Source organism: Homo sapiens, chromosome 17, assembly GCF_000001405.40.
Source record: "Homo sapiens chromosome 17, GRCh38.p14 Primary Assembly".
Classification (NCBI taxonomy): Eukaryota; Metazoa; Chordata; class Mammalia; order Primates; family Hominidae; genus Homo; species Homo sapiens.
In genome coordinates, this window is record NC_000017.11 from 18,975,201 (window position 1) to 18,993,500 (window position 18,300).

General features: G+C 59.4%; 2 protein-coding genes across 8 annotated transcripts in view, besides 3 other annotated features; one reads left to right on the plus strand and one right to left on the minus strand.

The window, feature by feature from the left end:
* The window catches only part of SLC5A10 (solute carrier family 5 member 10), a 71,890-nt gene that overhangs the window by 24,525 nt on the left and 29,065 nt on the right, over nt 1–18,300 (plus strand). For all 6 annotated transcript variants that reach the window (NM_001282417.1, XM_017024191.3, NM_152351.6 and 3 more), the window contains one exon: nt 1,654–1,789. In NM_001282417.1, the coding sequence (NP_001269346.1) occupies nt 1,654–1,789 (136 nt within the window). The remainder of the gene's footprint in view (nt 1–1,653; nt 1,790–18,300) is intronic.
* The window catches only part of FAM83G (family with sequence similarity 83 member G), a 37,328-nt gene that overhangs the window by 6,412 nt on the left and 12,616 nt on the right, over nt 1–18,300 (minus strand). For both annotated transcript variants that reach the window (XM_017024953.3, NM_001039999.3), the window contains exons 3-5: nt 13,047–13,214; nt 4,349–4,473; nt 2,384–3,650 (exon numbers count right to left, since the gene is read on the minus strand). In XM_017024953.3, coding sequence (XP_016880442.1) covers nt 2,384–3,650; nt 4,349–4,473; nt 13,047–13,214 — 1,560 coding nt within the window. The remainder of the gene's footprint in view (nt 1–2,383; nt 3,651–4,348; nt 4,474–13,046; nt 13,215–18,300) is intronic.
* Nucleotides 5,331–6,286: an enhancer, noted in NCBI's record as "H3K4me1 hESC enhancer chr17:18883844-18884799 (GRCh37/hg19 assembly coordinates)". NCBI's record gives its function as "activates a minimal SCP1, AML or CMV promoter by ChIP-STARR-seq in primed H9 embryonic stem cells {active_cell/tissue: H9 hESC(primed)}" and the evidence as "EXISTENCE:reporter gene assay evidence [ECO:0000049][PMID:30033119]".
* Nucleotides 6,287–7,241: an enhancer, noted in NCBI's record as "H3K4me1 hESC enhancer chr17:18884800-18885754 (GRCh37/hg19 assembly coordinates)". NCBI's record gives its function as "activates a minimal SCP1, AML or CMV promoter by ChIP-STARR-seq in primed H9 embryonic stem cells {active_cell/tissue: H9 hESC(primed)}" and the evidence as "EXISTENCE:reporter gene assay evidence [ECO:0000049][PMID:30033119]".
* Nucleotides 7,242–8,196: an enhancer, noted in NCBI's record as "H3K4me1 hESC enhancer chr17:18885755-18886709 (GRCh37/hg19 assembly coordinates)". NCBI's record gives its function as "activates a minimal SCP1, AML or CMV promoter by ChIP-STARR-seq in naive and primed H9 embryonic stem cells {active_cell/tissue: H9 hESC(naive and primed)}" and the evidence as "EXISTENCE:reporter gene assay evidence [ECO:0000049][PMID:30033119]".

Genomic DNA, 18,300 nt, shown 5'->3' on the forward strand with positions numbered 1-18,300 from the left:
AACTGAGGCAAGGGCTTCTCCCAAGTCACAGCAAGCTGGCAGAGAAGCAGGAAGGACAGCAGCTTGCCCTGCGTTCGGAGGCTGCAGCCCGCAGGCATTCCTAGCCTCTGTAATTAATGTTTCCGTGACATCCACAGCTTAGGGGTAAATGCTGGGAGCCGTCCGTTAAACTAGCAAGCTTGGAAAGTAAGTTAAAATCACGGAGGCAGCCGGATGCGGTGGCTCACACCTGTAATCCCAGCACTTTGGGAGGCCGAGGCGGGCAGATCACCTGAAGTCGGGAGTTCAAGACCAGCCTGACCAACATGGTAAAACCCCATCTCTACTAAAAATACAAAAAAAAATTAGCCGGGCGTGGTGGCTCATGCCTGTAATCCCAGCTACTTGGGAGGCTGAGGCAGGAGAATCCCTTGAACCCTGGAAGGCAGAGGTTGCGGTGACCCGAGATTGCGCCATTGCACTCCAGCCTGGGCAACAAGAGTGAAACTCCATCTCAAAGAAAAAAAAAATCATAGAGGCTTCCTGCTCCTGAGTTGCAGCTGGTGACTTAAACTGTGGAACCGCAAAGGAAAACTAGTTACGTTTCAGAGTCATAGGTCGTACAACTTTGTGAACGTACTAAAAACCATGGGAACAGTGTACACTTTGGGTGAATTATATGGTCTGTGAATATCTCAATAAAGCTGTTTAAAAAGTAACTCTTTTGGGCTGGGCACGGTGGCTCACGCTTGTAATCCCAGCACTTTGGGAGGTCGAGGCGGGCGATCACGAGGTCAGGAGATCAAGACCATCCTGGCTAACAAGGTGAAACCTCGTCTCTATTTTAAAAATACAAAAAATTAGCCGGGCGTGGTGGCAGGCGCCTGTTGTCCCAGCTACTTGGGAGGCTGAGGCAGGAGAATGGCGTGAACCCGGAGGCGGAGCTTGCAGTGAGCCGAGATCGCACCACTGCACTCCAGCCTGGGCGACAGAGCAAGACTCCGACTCAAAAAAAAAGTAACTCTTTTGAAGTAGAATCGTAATATCAGTGCTGGGAGAGATCTCAGACATTATGGGTCCAAATTACCGCTCCCTCCTCCCATTCTGCAAATCTGGAAAGGCCTGGTTAGGATTTGCTGAAGGCTCCCAGAAGGGCCGGTGTCCTCAGATAGCTTCTAGCCTCCCTCTGCTACTGAACTGCAAGCTTTCAAAACCCCAGGTCTTAAAGCACCTGAACTCTGCCAGCCATGCAAACACAGTTGGCGCCAGTGTCTGCTCCTGGCACTATAAATGTGCCAGCTGCTGTCATGAGGGTCCAGGAGATGAGGGTAGGGGTGTATGTCCCCATACCACCCCACCCAGGGTCTCCTCCAGCCCTGACAATTGCCAGGGGTGGTGGGCTGGGCAGGATCCACACCTCCCCTATTGACAGGTCAGGGGACTGAGTCCCTGGGAATGAGTGTACCTCGGCTCTCGCTGCTTGGCCTGCTGAAGTGAGCTCTCCTGGTGGGACCCTGACAGTATTGGGGCTTTGAGTGTGGCTGTTTTGGGCAGGTCAGAGGCTAATGGGACATCATCGTGCCTCATGCCCATTCCCTGAGGCCCACCAAGGACCAATCCTGACACAAGTGTCCCTCAGGCTTGGACTCACCCCGTCTCGCACTCCACCCCCAGGTCATCGTGCAGCGATCACTGTCAGCCCGGGACCTGAACCATGCCAAGGCGGGCTCCATCCTGGCCAGCTACCTCAAGATGCTCCCCATGGGCCTGATCATCATGCCGGGCATGATCAGCCGCGCATTGTTCCCAGGTAGGACGGGCTCCGGGCACTGAACCCAGGCTGCAGGGCACCCAGGGTTCTGGGACCTTGTCCTGCAAACGTCACCAGAAGAAGAGGCAAAGGATAGATGTGAACTGTTCCCCAACCTGGGGAGTGGGGAGAGTGGTCCTCAGGGCCACAATCAAAGGGATTAACATGGATGTGGCTTGGCACAAGGTCTGGACAGGTATCACTTACTGCTGTGTGACCTCAAGGCTGTAAATGAACGTCCCTGTGCCCCGCCTTTTCCTCATCTGCAAACTAGGGACTGTGCCACCCATCTGGCAGGTGCCATCAAGATCCTCTAACCACAGGCTTTGGAGACCTCTAGGTGGGGAAACGTGCATTTTCTTAGGTTGCCTTTTCAGGATGCTGGGACCAAGAGTCCCCAGCATTAATGATGGCCTTCCATATGGCCCTGGCCGGTTCCCACCCCTGCCTGTTCATCAAGTTTCCCCATCTGTAACAAGGGAATTGAAGTCATCAGAGTCAGGGACATGGTAGCCCAGAAGACAACAGCTCGAGCTCTTGGGTGGCTGGCAGGGAGGGACTCGTGACCCCTGGTGTGCAGGGACCCTGACCCACCTGTGCCTCCTTGTCTGTGGAGCGCTGGGCCTGCATCCTCTTCAACGCATCTGCTTCTTCTCTTCCCCGACTCTGGGCCCATGGGGAGCCACCCTGGGGTCCAACAAAGGTCCCTCGGGTTATATGGGGGGCACTCAGCTGCCGGCGCGGTGGTGGGGTTGGCCCGTTGGCCACTTGCTCTGAGTGGCGCCTCCGGAGAGGGACTGAGTGCTCTCTCACCTCGAAGTACTCCTCTGACACAGAGGAAGCCACTGAGGGCCGTCGGGGGCCAGGGCCACGGCCGGAGCTGCCTGAGTGGCTGTCCTGGTCACTGAGGGTTACGTAGTCGTCATCATCTTCTTCTTCCACCCCATCCAGCCCATTGGGGAGCCCCACCCCGAGGCTCTCGGGGTCATCCTGGGTCACAGATAGCTGCCGCTGGAGTGGGGCGTGGCCTGGGCCTGCCATCCTGGGTAGCCTATGGTCTGTCCCATTCTGGGGAGCTTCCTCTTTGGGGAGCTCCAGGACCCAGCCAATATCACTGCTGTCCCGGGCTAGTACATCTGCCACAGGGACTGTCCGGGGCTTGGGCACGGGGGGCAATGGCTCAGGGTCCCCCTGGGGGAGGCCGTTCTCAGCTGGGACACCGTCCTGGGGGGCACTGGGCTCTGGGGGAGGGCAAGGCTCTGGACGGGGCCTGCTGTCCTGGCTCTGCTTCCACAGCTGGTGCTGGGCGCTGGCCTGGGAGGTGTCACGGATCTTGATGCGGTTCATCTGGCTGGGCTGGGGGTTCCAGATGTTGGGGTCGATGATATTGATGTAGCCCAGGATGTCGCTGCCAGGCTCCGGGTCTGGCTCCACCCACGTGGGCAGGTACTCAAACATGTTGGCCCTCTCCAGGTGAAGCAGTCCTGGGTGGATGGGTGGCAGCAGCTCGGGGAGTTCCCCTGGATGCTCAGCCAGCGCTGGGCCTTTCAGCCCCAGGGGCTTCTTGGCCTCCTGCTTCTCAGAGGAGATCTTGGCAATCTCGTCGACGCTCTTGGCCTTGACAAGTGCGTACTTGGGGTTGACGAGCTTCTTGGCCACAGTGCCCGCGGGCACCAGGGGGACCACAGAGGGCAGCACAATAGGCTCCGGCTCCGGTTCCTTCTCCATAGGGATGCCCTTGAGGCTCACACTGTGTGACATGAGGTACAGCTCCTGGAACTGCCGGTCAAACATCTCCACCACCTGGCCAGACAGCACAGAGATCACATTCCGGTCCGTCCGCGCGGCCGACCACGTGAAGCTGCAACAGAGGGAGGGGGCGCTGGTCAGGCACATGACCCTGCTTCCTCCGCCCAGCCCCCGTGCACCCATAGCCGCTGGGCCTCAGACTGTGGCCACAGGGCCCTGGGATCAAGAAGTGAATGGGGGCAGAGAGCAGGTGCATACTGTGGGGTCAGACTGAGTCGGATGTCAAGCAAGTTGGTTGCACCAAGCCCATTCCCACCTCTGCAAATGACAGGGCACTGTGCTCCTCTCAGGCTGGTACAGGATTCACTAAGCAGCTCAGGAAGGCCCTGGACACTGTGGGGGGTTCTGCATGTGGTGGCCGCTGCTGCCATGCGTCTATGCTGCCACCAACCCCCATGTAACCATGGGCAGCGCCCACCCCATGCCCCATGTGGTGGTGCCCACAGAGCTGGCCCCATCCCTAAGGACGGCTCTCAGAGTGACCCCCATAGGCTTGCGAAGGCACGGCCTGGCCACACCCCACCTCCAGGCCGGTGACATCTCCAAGCTGGAACAACAGCGTCCTCAGACAAAGCCCTTCTCTGCCTGCCTCCAGAGACAGACAGGCGGGCAGATGTGCTCCAGCCCTGCGCACACCTCAGCAGCCTTGGGACCAATGAACCGGAATAACCAGGGTTAGGATTAAGGGCAGAAGCCAGTTGGGAGCCAGAGGTACCTCTCGCACAACTTCCCTGAAAGCTGGAGAGTCACCTGTAGGAGCCGCACACAGCCCGGTCTCCATCCACAAACATGAACTTCTGGGCCAGGGCACCCTTGAACTTGGTTGCCGACCGCGTGAAGAACTCAGTTCCCCCGCTGCTCCGCACTCTGAGATTCTGTTTTGGGAACCAAGAGACAGAATTACACGACTGCAACCCTGACCACACAGGGCGAGGGGAGGACGGCAGCTGCCCAGGGCTCAGAGGGGACTCTGGAGTAGTCAGGAGGGGAAGAAAGAGGCTGTAAGGCCTGGAGAAAGGGGCTGGTGTGTCTGGGACTGCAGGGCTCAGGGTAAGGAGGGAGCTGCTGAGCCGTGAAGCTACAGAGCGGGCAGGCACTGGTACAAAGGGGTTGGCATAAGATGGTCTGGGCTTTGGCCCTAAAGGTGTCTGAAGAGCAGCATCAGGCAGGAAAAGGCTTACACAGCCAGCCAGCTTGGGAAATGCTGCCGTGGGTGGTGGATGCTATGGTGGGGTCCTGAGCGGGAGGGTGATGTGCACACGTTTTAGAAGTGTCTCGTGGATGGCTAGGGGGTGATGCAGCCAGAGGAGGGCAGGAAGGGGGCCTGCCCTGCAGAATCTGTGCCTTATACTCCGATAAGTCTGTGGCCCTCCAGGGTGCGTGGCCCTACCCGGCCTCTCCCCTGTGCTTCTCAACACCCCTGTCTCTGCTGGGCTCTGCTCCGAGGACAGGACTCACAGCAAACCTTTCTCCTTCCCCATGGCCAGGACACCACCCAGCACCCAGGCCAGGTCCTGTAAATGGTCAGAGATTCAATTCTGTGCCGGCTTACACTGTTTGGCCCAGGAGCAGGCCAGGAAGGCCCTCAGAGACTGTGGCCAAGGGAGCTGAGACCCAAGGAGAAGAGGGCTCCTTGGGCATGAGGAGCACAGCGGGCCCCTCAACTGCCTCAGCTCCAAGGCCAGGTCGTCACCGGCCTTTTCCTGGACCCTGAACACATAAGGGCCCTCTGTCCCAGTGTGGAGTCTCTGGAGCTGCCAAGGGCCTGTGTGTTATGAGCTCCAGGTGCTGACTTCCCTCCCCCAGGTAGCAGGACCTGCTGTGAGGGAGGAGCAGATGGTAAAGGCTGGTGCTGGGCACGGCAGACCCCAGGAAGGACAGGGCGAGCCTGGCTGGAACCCAAGTGTCGAGGATGGCCAAGGGCATCCCGAAGTAGAATCACAGGTGTAAAGGGGACCTGGGGCTCATCTGGCCCCTGTCTAGGGCAGTGTGTAAGAAATGCTCCTGGGTGCCCTGAGGGTCTGACTCAGGAGGCCTGAGGTCAGGCAGGGAATCTCAGTTTTAACACCCACTCCAGGGATTCCTGACTGGTCTGCCTGCATGCCTCCTGTGATGGGAGTCTCACTCCCTCCCGAGGGGCTCTGTGCCGGCTTCTGGCTCTCGGCTATGACGTGTTCTTAGTCAGGCTGAGCTGTGACGTACTGGTCTGTCCCCTCACCCACTCACTGGCCCCAGCTTATTCACCCCACTCATTCACATAGTCATCAACCCCTGCCGAGGCCTCCAGCTGCAGAGATGCCTGTGATGAGGATCCCACCTGGGAGGTGAAGGGGAGGCTGAGGGGGTAAACGAAAACAAGCTGAATGCCCAGGATCGCAGAGGAGTAGCCTGAAGTGTGAAGGGCTGGCCGGGAGGCTCCCGGGAGAGGATGACATAGGTCACAGGGGGAGGTGGGGAAGCATTCCAGGGAAGGGACTCAAAGACCAGGCATGAGAGGCCTTTGTACAAGAGCACCTCAGGGGAGGAGGGGTGGGTGATGGAGCCTGCAGAGCGAGCAGGGGCGGGCTCCTGGTAAAAGACCCTGCACCGGCTTAAGAGCCTGAGCTTGGCCCTGGGGCCAGTAGGGAGCCATGGGAGGATTTACAGCAAGAGCGATGGGGTTGGGTGTGTATCTCAGGAGCAGTGCTGGCATCAGGCAGTGGGTGTGTGAGGTGAATGCTATGGGAGAGGAGGGGAGCCTGAGAGAGCAGAGCTGCCCGCCATGCCATCCAGCCTCCTGCCCTGCCAGTCCTTTCCGTGTCCCAGACCCCTGTGGCTGGGGTGGCCCCAGGCAAGCAACCACAGAGGCAGGCAGGTGTGGGCCGTGGGTGAGTCCCCATCTGATGCCCACCTGTGGGATAAACCATAGCCTTTTCATAGGGCCCAGTGCAGAAGGCAGATAAGCCTCTGCTCCCAGGGCCGCCCTCGCCGGCCCCCCACCCCGCAGGCTGCAGGTTTGCACACAGCCAGCTCAGCAGGAAGCTGGCCACGGCCCAGGACAATTAGCGCTCGTGACTTTGTACCCAACATGGAGCACGCTCGGGGTTGAGAAGTCGGACAAAGATCCTGGAGGTGGTACGAGGCCTTCCCTGTCACTGAGCCCAACCGAGCCCAGCTCCACCGCCTCCTGCAGGCTCCTGGCCCGGCCACAGACCCCTCCTTAGCCTGGAAAATCGGCCGCCAGCATCAGGACCCTTCTGGACAGTGTCTGTCCCCACCCATCCCAAACCTTGTCCTGATGAGGGCTCGGAAAGTCACCACTTCCATCTCAGAGTGACTCAGCCTCCGTGTGAGCCGCAGGCCTCGGCTGGGCCGCTGACTCGCTGTGACTCGAAGCAAGTCCCGGGCCCTTGCTGGGCCTTAGTCTCCCTTAGCACACAGCAGGGCGGGCCTCCAACTCTTAGGCCTGTTCTACCTGGGGCTCAGCAGCAGGTGGGGGCCTGCAGCAGGGCCCCCCACCTCTTGCCTCATGGCCTGCTCCCCAGCTTGTGCCTGGATGGGCCCCACCCCACGGGGCCTGGCCTGGATGAGGTAACGTCTCAAGACTCTGGGCTCGTGTGCGCAGAGGTGGAGGATCCCACAAAGCTGCATTGTCTCTGAGCTCCTGGGACACCCCCGGCACAGGACAGCAGATGGGTGGAGGGATGCCGGGGCTGGCCCAAGAGGGGTGCCCTGGAAAAGTCTTTGGACCCTCTGGGACCTCAGTTTCCTCATAAGTAAGAGAGGACGTCAAGGGCGAGTCAGGGCAGGGGAGGACGGCCGGGTGGTGCTTCATCTGCTCTCAGCGGGTGGCAAGGCAAGGTGGGGGCTCCAGGGCTGGGGCAAACTACAGCAACCTGCCCCCAATCCCCCCAGGCCTCCAGGCCACATGTGCTTAAAGGACATGTGATCCAACTGTGCCAAGCCCGCTGGTGCGAGGCAGAGGGGGCTGAGCCCAGGAGCCCCTGGAGTGGGTCTAGGGTCTAGGCATTCCTGAGCTCCAGTCAAACAGGCTCCAATCCTAGCACCAAATGGACGCCAACCAAGGCCTTTCTTTCCACGCCTCAGTTTTCTCATCTATGAAAGGGTCTACTCATCCTTGTGCTGCAAGGCTGCTGTGAGGACTGAATAGAGCCACAGTACAGGTGGGGCCCTCCCAGGGAAGGTGTCCAGCTCCCAGTGGGTGCCCCATGAACTGGAAGTGGCGCAGTGGGCTGTGGGGGACCAACACAGAGGACCACAAAACATCCAGGAGGGATGGACTGCCCAGGGAGGCCAGGACTGTCAGCCGTACTGGGTGGGTGGTTGGTGGGCTCAGGTAGGGAAAGTGACCTGCCCACTGTCTCCCAGTAGCCCTGGGCTGGGCCGGGACTGAGGACAGGGCTCTTTCATCACCCACCTCCTCAGGGCCCTGCTGGCCAAACACCGTCTCCTTTAATTTCACCCTCACACAACCCCGTGAGGCATCACTATGGCCATGGGGCGCTCGAGGCCCAGAGAGGTGGAACCACACGCCCAGGTCCCACAGCAGGTCAACAGCCAGTGAGCCATGTAGGCAGCACCAGGACAGCCTGTGCTGGCAGGTTAGCTTTGGTTTTGGTTTTATAATGGAAGCCAGTGATTACTTCCCCTGCCCATAGTGGGATGGCCATTCCTAGGTTTATTGATAGTTGAGTAGTTAGTGTGAATGAGTAGAGGCCCGGTAGAGCAGTGGGGAGGTCCAGAGATGCATCCTTGACCAGGTCTGAGCTGGGAACAGTGAGGCCAGGCCTAGTGTGAGGAATGCAAGGAACAGAGCCCAACATAGCAGCAGGAGCCTGGCTGCCTGAGGTGCAGGCCTCCAGCAGCCTCTACTCTCCTCTACAGGGCCTGTCTCGCTCTCTGTGGAGGGTGGAGAGGGGTGGTCAACACTCACCCTGGACTTCTCCAGGCTGTTGTGAAGTTGGGGTGGTGGGCCCTTTGTGAACCACATTTGGCCCAAAGTATGTGACGGCATGTAGGGGCAGGGCCAGCCTAGCTCCAAGGCCCTGGTCTGAGGGGCTCCTCTCTCCCCTAGGCCAAGGCTGCTCAGCCTCTGCACAACTGATACATGTCCCCTTTTGTGTGGGACCTGTCCCCGGCAGTGTAGGATGTTTAACAACATCCTTGGCCACTCAATGCTGGTAGTACCCCCAAGGTGGACAGTTAACAATGCCAAATGTCCCTCAGCAGAGTGAATCCCCCCCGTTTGAGAACCCCTGCCTTGGCCGGGCGCGGTGGCTCACGCCTGTAATCCCCGCACTTTGGGAGGCCGAGGCGGGCGGATCACGAGGTCAGCAGATCGAGACCATCCTGGCTAACACGGTGAAACCCCATCTCTACTAAAAATACAAAAAATTAGCCGGGCGTGGTGGCGGGCCCCTGTAGTCCCAGCTACTGGGGAGGCTGAAGCAGGATAATGGCACGAACCCGGGAGGCAGAGCTTGCAGTTCACGCCACTGCAGTCCAGCCTGGGCGACAGAGCAAGACTCCCTCTCAAAAAAAAAAAAAAAAAAAAAAGAGAACCCTGCCTTATACCCTGAATCCACCACAGACCCAGGCCCAGGTAGAGACAGCAAGCAACACCCAGGCATCCCCGGGGAACGGGGGAACCTGGGCAGCGGAAGGGCTGGGTCGTGCCTGTCCAGCGTGAGGCCTGAGCGGCAGCGATCCTCACTTCCTCACCGTGTGCCTTCCCATGGCCATCCCAGCTGATGCTTCTTTGTTCATCAGAAACGGGAAACGGGTCTGGCCTTTGCCCAGGGGCTGCTGGTATTTCCAGTTTGGCTGCACGAAGTCAACTGGCTTTTCAGATGGCCCAGGCATCTCATGGCTCTTGTCTGTCCTAAGCTGGAAGCCTCAGGCCCAGCCTGTCTCTGGTTGGCCTGGGAGCATCCCTCCACACCCAGTATCACCCCCAAAAGCAGCCAAGTCATGCGGCCTGGCCCTGTGACCCTAGAGGGTGTCAGTGAAAGTTCTGGCCCTCTTCCCAAGGCCTGCTCCCTATTTGTCATTTGGGGTGGTCATTCCCATACTCCCACATGGAGGGCCACTGGGGCCGGCCAGGGCAACCGGCTGAGGTGCTTAGGAATGGCTGGGAGCCCCACATTTGGGGAGACACTGGTGCACGCTGCTCCCACCTCACCTGGGGACCAGGAGTGGGCTTGGCCCAAGCAACAGGGCAGCGTTTCGAGAGTGTGTTGGTGTGGGCTCCAAGCTCAGGAGGAAGGAGCCGAGTGAGGGTGAACCACAGCCAGACCCTGGCGCAGAGGGAAAGAAAGCCGCTCAGCACTCAGACCAGAGCTGCGTCTCATGGCGGGGCTGTGCCTGTCCCTAGCCAAAGCCAGGATGGGAAGGGAGCTCGTGACCGAAGGCCCACCGCACAAACGGCCTCCTTCACTCTTCACAGCACCCCTGACAGATAAATGACCATGTCCCCATTTTGTAGACAAGACAATGGAGGCCTAGAAGGATTCAGTGACTCTGCCCAAGGTTACCATGCAGGTGGCACAGCTGGGGCTCAGGACTGGCTCCTGGTATCACCCCCAAACTGGCACCTGACACCCCAAGGTCAAAAGGATGACCCTACCAGAAAACCTGTACCCTGCCTGGGCCCAAAGGAGCTGGGGCAGGTTGGTGCAGAGCTGGGCAGGGGTGGCAGTGGCTGAGGGCAGGCCCAGGGATTATCGGCAAAGGAAGTGCTCCCGGGACAGGTCTGGGCCCAGCTAGCTCAAGGTGAGGGAGGTAGGCAGGGAAGGCAGGCCCTCGACAGGGGGTGACACTTGGCTGGGGCTGGGCTCTCAGGGCCTCTGGCCACCCGCCCAGGGCTGTAGAAGGGCAAGCTCAGAGGCGAGAATGAGGAAGCCAGGTCACACTTTCCCATGGAGGCGTCTAGCTCCTGGATATGTCACCCTACAGACTCTGCCACCTTCCCTGGGGAAGCGAGGCGGCTGAGCAGGGCAGGCGGGGCCAGGGACCTGCAGTGCCAGCTGCCTTCCAGCTGGTCACAGCCAGTGGAAGGGCTGGGGGTGGAACAGGGCAGGCCTCATACCCAAGCCCCTACCCCAGCCCAGGGCCTGGGATTTAGAATGTGTGGTTCTTGCCAGTAGCTGTATAACTTTCCTCAGCACACACAGCACTTTACAACCACCGTCTCCTTTAATTTCACCTTCACACAACCCCGTGAGGCATCACTATGGCCATGGGGCACTCGAGGCCCAGAGAGGTGGAACCACACACCCAGGACCCACAGCAGGTCAGCGGCCAGTGAGCCGTGTGGGCAGCACCAGGGCAGCCTGTGCTGGCAGGTTGGCTTTGGTTTTGGTTTTATAATGGAAGCCAGTGACTACTTCCCCTGCCCATAGTGGGATGGCCATTCCTAGGTTTATTGATAGTTGAGTAGTTGGTGTGAATGAGTAGGGTGGGAGTGCTAGAAGATTGGTTGAGCCAATAAAAAGGATAAGAGAAATTAATATAAGGGATCAAGTTCATCCTTTGATGCTCTGTGTTATTATTTGTAGTTGTTTATTATTTGCTGCTTGAGTACCAGGGATCTGCAGCCTCCTTGTCAGAGCTGATTTGTCACTATTGGCTTTTAGGCGCCACCCCTAAATTGGTCGGAATTGCTTTGGGCAAGGCATGGCCTCCCTCGGATCTCAGTTTCTCCATCTGTCTTGTGGGAGCCTCATCTGAATGACCTCAAGGCCCCTTCAGGCCCAGGCACTCCAGGCCCCCCACCTGCCCCATTGCCTCCGGCTTCCTGGAAACTCAGAACTCTGCAAGCAGCGGAGCAGCCAGGGCTTCTCTGCTGAGAAGGGGCCTGGGTGGAAGGCGAGGCCTCTGGAGTGGCTGGCCCCAGGTTAGGGTCCCTGCTCCAAACCGACAGGCTTGCTCCCTGCTTGCGTCTGCACGCTGGGGGAAGTGCAAAGCACTCGCTGGGCCTGGGGCAGGGGTACGGTGCTGGTGGGGCCCCACTGGGGTCTCTTCCTGGGCATCGGGCAGGGCCAGGCCTTCTGCAGTCAGGTTTCCAAAGTGGCCTTTCCACACTGGCTCTCTCAGGCATGAGCTATCTGCCACTGGAATCGATTCCCAGCACTAATTACGCGGCGGGGAGTGAGGTGGGTGTGGGGCTTGGGGCCAACCCACCAGGGAGACCACATTAAAAATGTCCCAAGAGCTAGAGACTCACCACGGAGTGCTCACAACCACTTGAAAGGACTCAACCGGAGGCGTTGGGGTTGGAGGGGGTGGGCGCGCCTGACAAATGCTGACAAATTACAGGCGTGGAGCCCGGCCCCTTGTTAACCAGACTGGCGGTGCCCCTTCTCCTAGGACCACAAGCCTGAAACCTGCAGAATTTTGACCTGTCAGACACTGGTGCTGAGCCCAAGGGTCTGGAGCAGGCCTCTACCCCACTATCTTTAACTTGCTAGCAGTGACATGGGGTATGTGGCTCCATTCCCTCATCTGCAAAATGGGAACAACTCCCTATCCCACTAGGCTGTTGTGAGGATTAAATTAACCAATGCAAAGTGCCTGTGACAGGGCCTGGCGCACGGCCAATGCAAGAGAAGTATTCGCCGTCATCACGCACGCTCATCTGCTCTCAGGGAAATGCTCTGCACGCAGCAGGTGCCAAGCGATGGCTGGCAGAAGGAGGGCTCCAGACACCAAATGCCAGGGTGTCTGGGCAGAAGAGCGTTGGACCAATGAGATCCTGTAGCCCAGAGAAGGGAGGTGACATGCCCAAGGACACACAGCAAAACAGTGCTGAGAACCACAGCCCACCCTGACCCCATCGGCAGCCTTCTCTGATCCACTTCTGTTCCATGGTTTCCCCCACCCCAAAGGTTCTTTCTCCTCTGCTCTTGTGCCTTAAATTCACTTCAACTGTGCAGCCATCGCAGAAGCCTTCCCTGGCCCCAGCCTGAGGGAGCTTCCTCTGTCTGAGCCAGAATCTAAAACCAGTAAATGGAATTCTAAGGAGACAGATTTGGGCTTAACCCAAGAAAGGACTTCCTGGGAGTTGAAGCTCTCCAGAAAGGCCACGAGCTACCTGAGGAGGCAGTGAGCACACTATCACCAGAGGTATGCAAGCAAACAGATAACCGATGTGGCATGGGCTGCTCTGAAATAACATGATGCAGCACTTGGCATGAGCTCCAGCACCTGGTCAGCAAGCACCTAATCAGTGTTTATTTTATCTCTGCCACGTTGGAGGTAGTGAGTATCCTGCCCCTCAGGGAATTCAAGCAGTGGCTATGTGACTGCTTGGCAGGAGGCTCTAGGATTACTGGACTCTGAGTGCCTGGCACAGGACTCCGTCCAGAGCAGGCAGGTACTCGAAGTGTTTGTTGACAGACTGAATGACCCCTGCCCTCCAGCCACCCAGGCAAGTGAGGAGCCTGCTCACCTTGAGGTGCCCCAGGTGCATGCAGGCCCGCTCACACATGTGCAGGAAGTACTTGACGTTACTCTCATCCACGATGATGTACACGGCCACTTTCCTCTTGAAGCCGGCGTCCAGCAGGTCCTTGAAGATGTCCACGTCGGTGAACATGTCCATGACCACAGCTATCACCTGGGAGCAAGAAGAGAGACTAGGGCCTGTCAGACAGTGCAGCAGTGGGGACAGGGTGCCCTGGCAGAGCGCACAGCCCTCCCATGCCACCAGCCTCTCACAGGTGCCCACTCTGGCCCTACTCCTGGAGCCTCAGGCCCGGGACCAGGAAGTGAGGGGCCAGGGGCCTCTCTTGCCCTGAAGTTCTAGTTGCAGTCCCAGCTCTGGGCTCAGCCCAGGGGCCCTGTGTTGGTGCATTCCCAGGCCAGGGCCGGCTACGCTCTGCCCTCCTTGTAACACCTGGGAATGCTGAGATGAACCTGATGTGTCAATGACCGGAAGGGCAGCAGCTGGCGTGGCGGCTCGCTGGGGCATCCCCTACATTCCTGGGCTGGTGTGGACTTTGGCCAGTGTCTAAACCCAGATCTCTTCCTGTCAGCTGACAACATCTGTCCCCATAGCAGGTGACCTCCTGCTGGACCTGGCTCAGGGTGGGGCCCCAGTGGTCAGGGCCTTCCCCCAGCCCAGCCAAGCACCACCAACAGGGCAGGGGGCCTGGCTGAGTGAAGGTGCAAGGTGGAACATGCAGAAGGACAGGATGAGGTGGTATGGGCCCGGCCCCAGTGGGGCTCAGTGACTGTCAGGCTTCTCTCACACCTAGTCCCCTCCCTGTCCCTTGGCAGCAAGGGGAGGGAGTCAGGACAGGGCCTGTGCCTGGGCACAGCCGCCTACACTGCTGATGCAGACACATGTCCCACTTTTGGGCAGCCCCACCCCTCCCACCCTCCGAGCCTGGCACCACCATCCCTGTCCCAGGTCTGAGGACCACCTGGAGAAGAGGCCAGGGACCTGCCCTAGGCCACACAGCAAGCTGGGGACAGAGTCAGGCTACAGACTACCCTGACTTGTCAGAGAGCACCCCAGCCTTGCTGGGATGCGGAGATTCAGGGTGGTGGAGGCGGCCTGGAGCCTGCTGGGGATGTGTCTGCACGCCCCAAAGTGAGCTCACCAGGCTGGCCCCTGCAGGCCCATCTGGGCTCCTCCTGGGCCTCAGGCCCCCATCGTTCACCTGGCACCAAAGCCCAAACTCCAGCAGAGGGGAGGGCTCCATACCTGCCCTGCCTCAAACTCACTGTGTGACCCTGAGCAAAACACCTGGCTTCTCTGGACCCAGTTTTCTCATCAGTATAGCATGCTCCATCTCTCAGGAGAATGGAGCACACCTGAATACCGCAGCACCTGCAAAGAGCCCGACGGGGGGCTGGGGCGGGGGCTCGGTGATGCCCGTTTGCTGCCTTTCTCCCACAGTCACCCCGCACGTTCCCATTTACAGGGGGTCTTGTCAGCCTGACTCCTGCAGCCTCTCACAGGCACCATGGTGGTGACAGCCCAGCATGCAGCCAGGTAAACTGAGGCTCAATGAGGTTGTAAGGCTTGTTGGATGTCGCAAAGCAAGTTGGGCCAGGGCCTGGACCTACCTCCGAGTCAGGTCAGGGTTGGTCTCCAGTACCTTCTCTTGGACGTTTAGTCTCGGAGAGCCTGGGAGAGAGTGGTCCCCCCAGAGCGGACAGCGGAGGTGTGGGACCAGCTGGGACTCCCAGAACTCCAAGGCCTAGGGTTCTCTCTGTTCTCTGGGGAGATGACTGCTCCCTATCTCTCTGTTTCTGAAGGGCTGTTTTGGGGCAGAGGGAGTAGCTGGTTGATGCAGGGTCTACGACTCGCAGGGGAGGCAGATGTTGGCACCAGATGGGGAAGCACTTGCTGCCCCCAGGGCTGCCCAAGGTTAAACAGGGATCTTAAGAGGGAGCTCACTCCCTGACCTAGGAGATGTTCAAGGAAGGCCAGAGACTGCTTGGAGCGGGGGTAGATGATAGGGCAGAGAAGACACGATGCAGGCAGGTCACCATGACCCTGGAGGCAGTGGTGTTGAGACACTGGGCAGGGGTGTGTGGTGGTAGCAGGGTCCTCCCTGCCTGGGATCTCCCAGACCCAAAGCCTCTCCAGCCCCAGAATCTCCTTAGTTAAGCCACTTCTGAGCAGGCAAACAGCCTCACGTGCCACCCTGGAAAGGAGCCTAATGAGGGCGCAGTAGGCATGCTTCTCCCTGGAGGGCACCAGGCCCTGCCTACCGTGGCAGATGGGGACTTGCCCTGGGCTTGGGCTGGGGGACGTGCCCCAGCAGGACCCGCACCATGTGCGCCACTCCCCACATTGCCCTCAGCCAGGCAGGGTGCCTGATCCAGGGACCATCTGCTGTCAGGTTGGATATGTTGGAGCCTGCACTCCAAAATGGATCCCCCCACAGTCCTGGCTCTCCCCAGGCATTGGGTTCAGTGCCTAGGGTGGTCAGAGATGGGTTTGTAACAGGCACGAGCTTATGCTGGGGATGGGGAGGGGGAGCCTGGTGCTCCCCCAGGCAACCCCCAACAGCCTGGCCTGTCCATGGAGCCACAAAGGTTTCTTGGGGGCCCTTGAGTCCTGTCATGCCCTTTCCCATTTTATAGACAGGAAAGCTGGGATCACAGTCCATGACTGAGGCTAGAACCCAGGGCCCTGTCCCACCCAGAGCACCTTCTGCACAAGAGACTGGGCATCAGTCCTGGGCCCTTGAGCTGCTTGATGGTTTATAAGGAGCCTTTACAGCTGTTACCTTGTTCAGGCCTCACAAGCACACCGGGAGGCAGTGGTTCTTTTTCCCATTTTGCAGATAAAGAAACTGAAGCACAGAGGCATTCGCCACCTTGCCTAATTCTGTTGGGAGGCCCAGCTCACTTGTGACACCATGAGCTCAGCAAGAGCAGAGCCCTTGTCTGAGCCCAGGACGGGGCCTGGTTTAAGGAAGGTCCTGGGGAGCTTTTATCAACTGAGAACAAGACCAACTGGCTTGGTCTGGGAATGACTGCAGGAATCAGGGCATCTGGGACCACAGCCCCTCCTGGGCCCTTGGCTTCCCCATCTGTCAAATGGGGGTGTGGGCCTGGCTTGCCCCTGTGGTTCTATCCAGTTCACACATTGTCAGAGCTGGCCCAAGTCAAGAAAAGTACCAGATGCTTCACGTAGCCCCAAGCCCACACGTCCTCTCAGAGGTCCTGGGCAGGGCAAGGGCTGTGGAAATGAGAGGGGAGGCTGACTCCAAAGACCAGCTCTACCTGCTGTTATGTCAGGGGCCACACTGGGCAGGAGGCGGGTGGCCTGGGTCCCATCACTGAGCTTGTTCCGCTCCTGAGGCAGGAACCAGCCATGTCCATGTGAGCAGCTGGCACAGGGGCAGGCATGGCAGGCGGGCACGTGTGTGTCCTGCACCCCAGGTACCGTTGTCAAAGCCGACGGGCAGCTCCCAGCCCAGCAGCCTGGAATCTGCGCAGGCCACACAGCCCAGCTCCCAAGTGAAGGAGGGAGCCCAGTGGTCCCTGTGCATCTTACTGATGGACAGGCCTCTGCTGGGCGGCCTTGAGGCCTCGAAGATGCAGCTGCAGAACCCAGGAGGCCCAATGCCCAAGACAACCATCTGACTCCTGCCAGGGTGTGGGAGGATGGCCCAAGATGGCAGGGTGTGGGAGGATGGCCATGCCTGGGGGGCAGAGGCAGGCAGGCTGCACTGGAGGGAAACACCAGCAGGGATGTGGGCACTCCTCCAGTGAGCCAACAGCGAGCCTGCGCCTGCCCCAGCCCAGGCCTCTCCCTGGGGGCTCCTGGTGCCCAAACACCTCCGGCATGTCTGTCCAGGGGTGTCCATATGCACAAGCCCTCCAGCGCCCCGCCCGATGAGCACCTCCTCCCATGCTGTACCCTCCCTGCCCAGTGGATCCGCCGGCCTTCTCCACCCTGCCTTCTGCCTGTGTCTCGAATCCCCCACCTCCCTCTGTGTCCTTGGGACAGGGGGACATCCGCCTCCATGTGAGAGATGCAGAAACTGCAGCTGGGAGAGGGGAGGGCACTGGTCCAAGGTGGTGCTGCATGGGGATCCCCAGTGCCCTGCCAGGAGCACCTCCAACACCTGGGCAGTGACCGGAGCAGCTTGAGCTGGGATGCAGGGGTGACAGCATCTCACACAAAGGAGAACCCCACCTGTGGCCACTGCCCCCCAGCAGACACGGCCTGAAGCCACGTAACACTGGCTGCTGGCGTTGGGGGTGGGACAGGGCTTTAGGTCACAGAGGCAGGGAGCACAGGCGTGGGCCTCCTCAATCTCCCTCAGCCCCAGCCAGAGCCCCCTGAGCAAGGGTGGAGCGGGCGGAGTCGGTCCAGCACCGGCGCCCAAGCTCTAGGCTGGGCTTTGGGTGAGCCACACCTGCGTTCCAGGTCTCAGTTTCTTCACCTGTCAAAGGAGAAGGTGGACAAGATGTCCAAGGCCCTTCGTCTCTGATGTCCCTGCCGAGGGACCCCAACTCCTGTTCCCTGCCTGGTGCCGGGCAGGGCCTGTCTGGGCGGCTAACACATCTCATTGCGCCCACAGGTCTGGGAGAGGAAGTGCTGGTGGCCGCCCTCTCCCTGCCTCCCCACACAGCTCCTGCCTCACAGGTGCCAACAACAGCCTGTGGCTCCTGACACCCACAACAGCTGTTTCCTAGCCTTCCTGTGACCACAGAACCACTCTTGAAGCAGAAGTGCCCTCGCAGGACGAGTAGGTAGAACAGGTCTCCACAGAGGTGCCTGGGGAGGAGGGGTGGGGCGAGACGGGCTGGCCTGGTTCCGAGCATGGTGGGAAACCACGGGTGCACAGGCCCAGCCTCTGCAGCAGCACCTCTTCAGGGGGGCCCTAAACCAACGCATCCTGACCCCTCTCCCCGACGCTTCCTGATCCCTCTCCCCGACGCGTCCTGCCTCAAGCCACTGTGTCTCCTACATGTTGTTCTCCTTGCCACCTGCCCATTTTGCATCTGCTCGGACAACTACCTTTTTTCAAATCCCAACTCCAGTGCAGCCCCAGCCTCCCCTGTCGTCACTCTGGCCTGTCTGGGTTGAGCGTGTATCACTTGCGTATTTCTTCTCAGGCACAGCAATGGAGTCTCCCAAGGACTGAGTCGCAAGACTCGGGTAAGAGGGGACAGTTTCCAACCTGCACGTGACAAGCCTTACACTCACCTCACCCTCCTAGGCCTCAGAG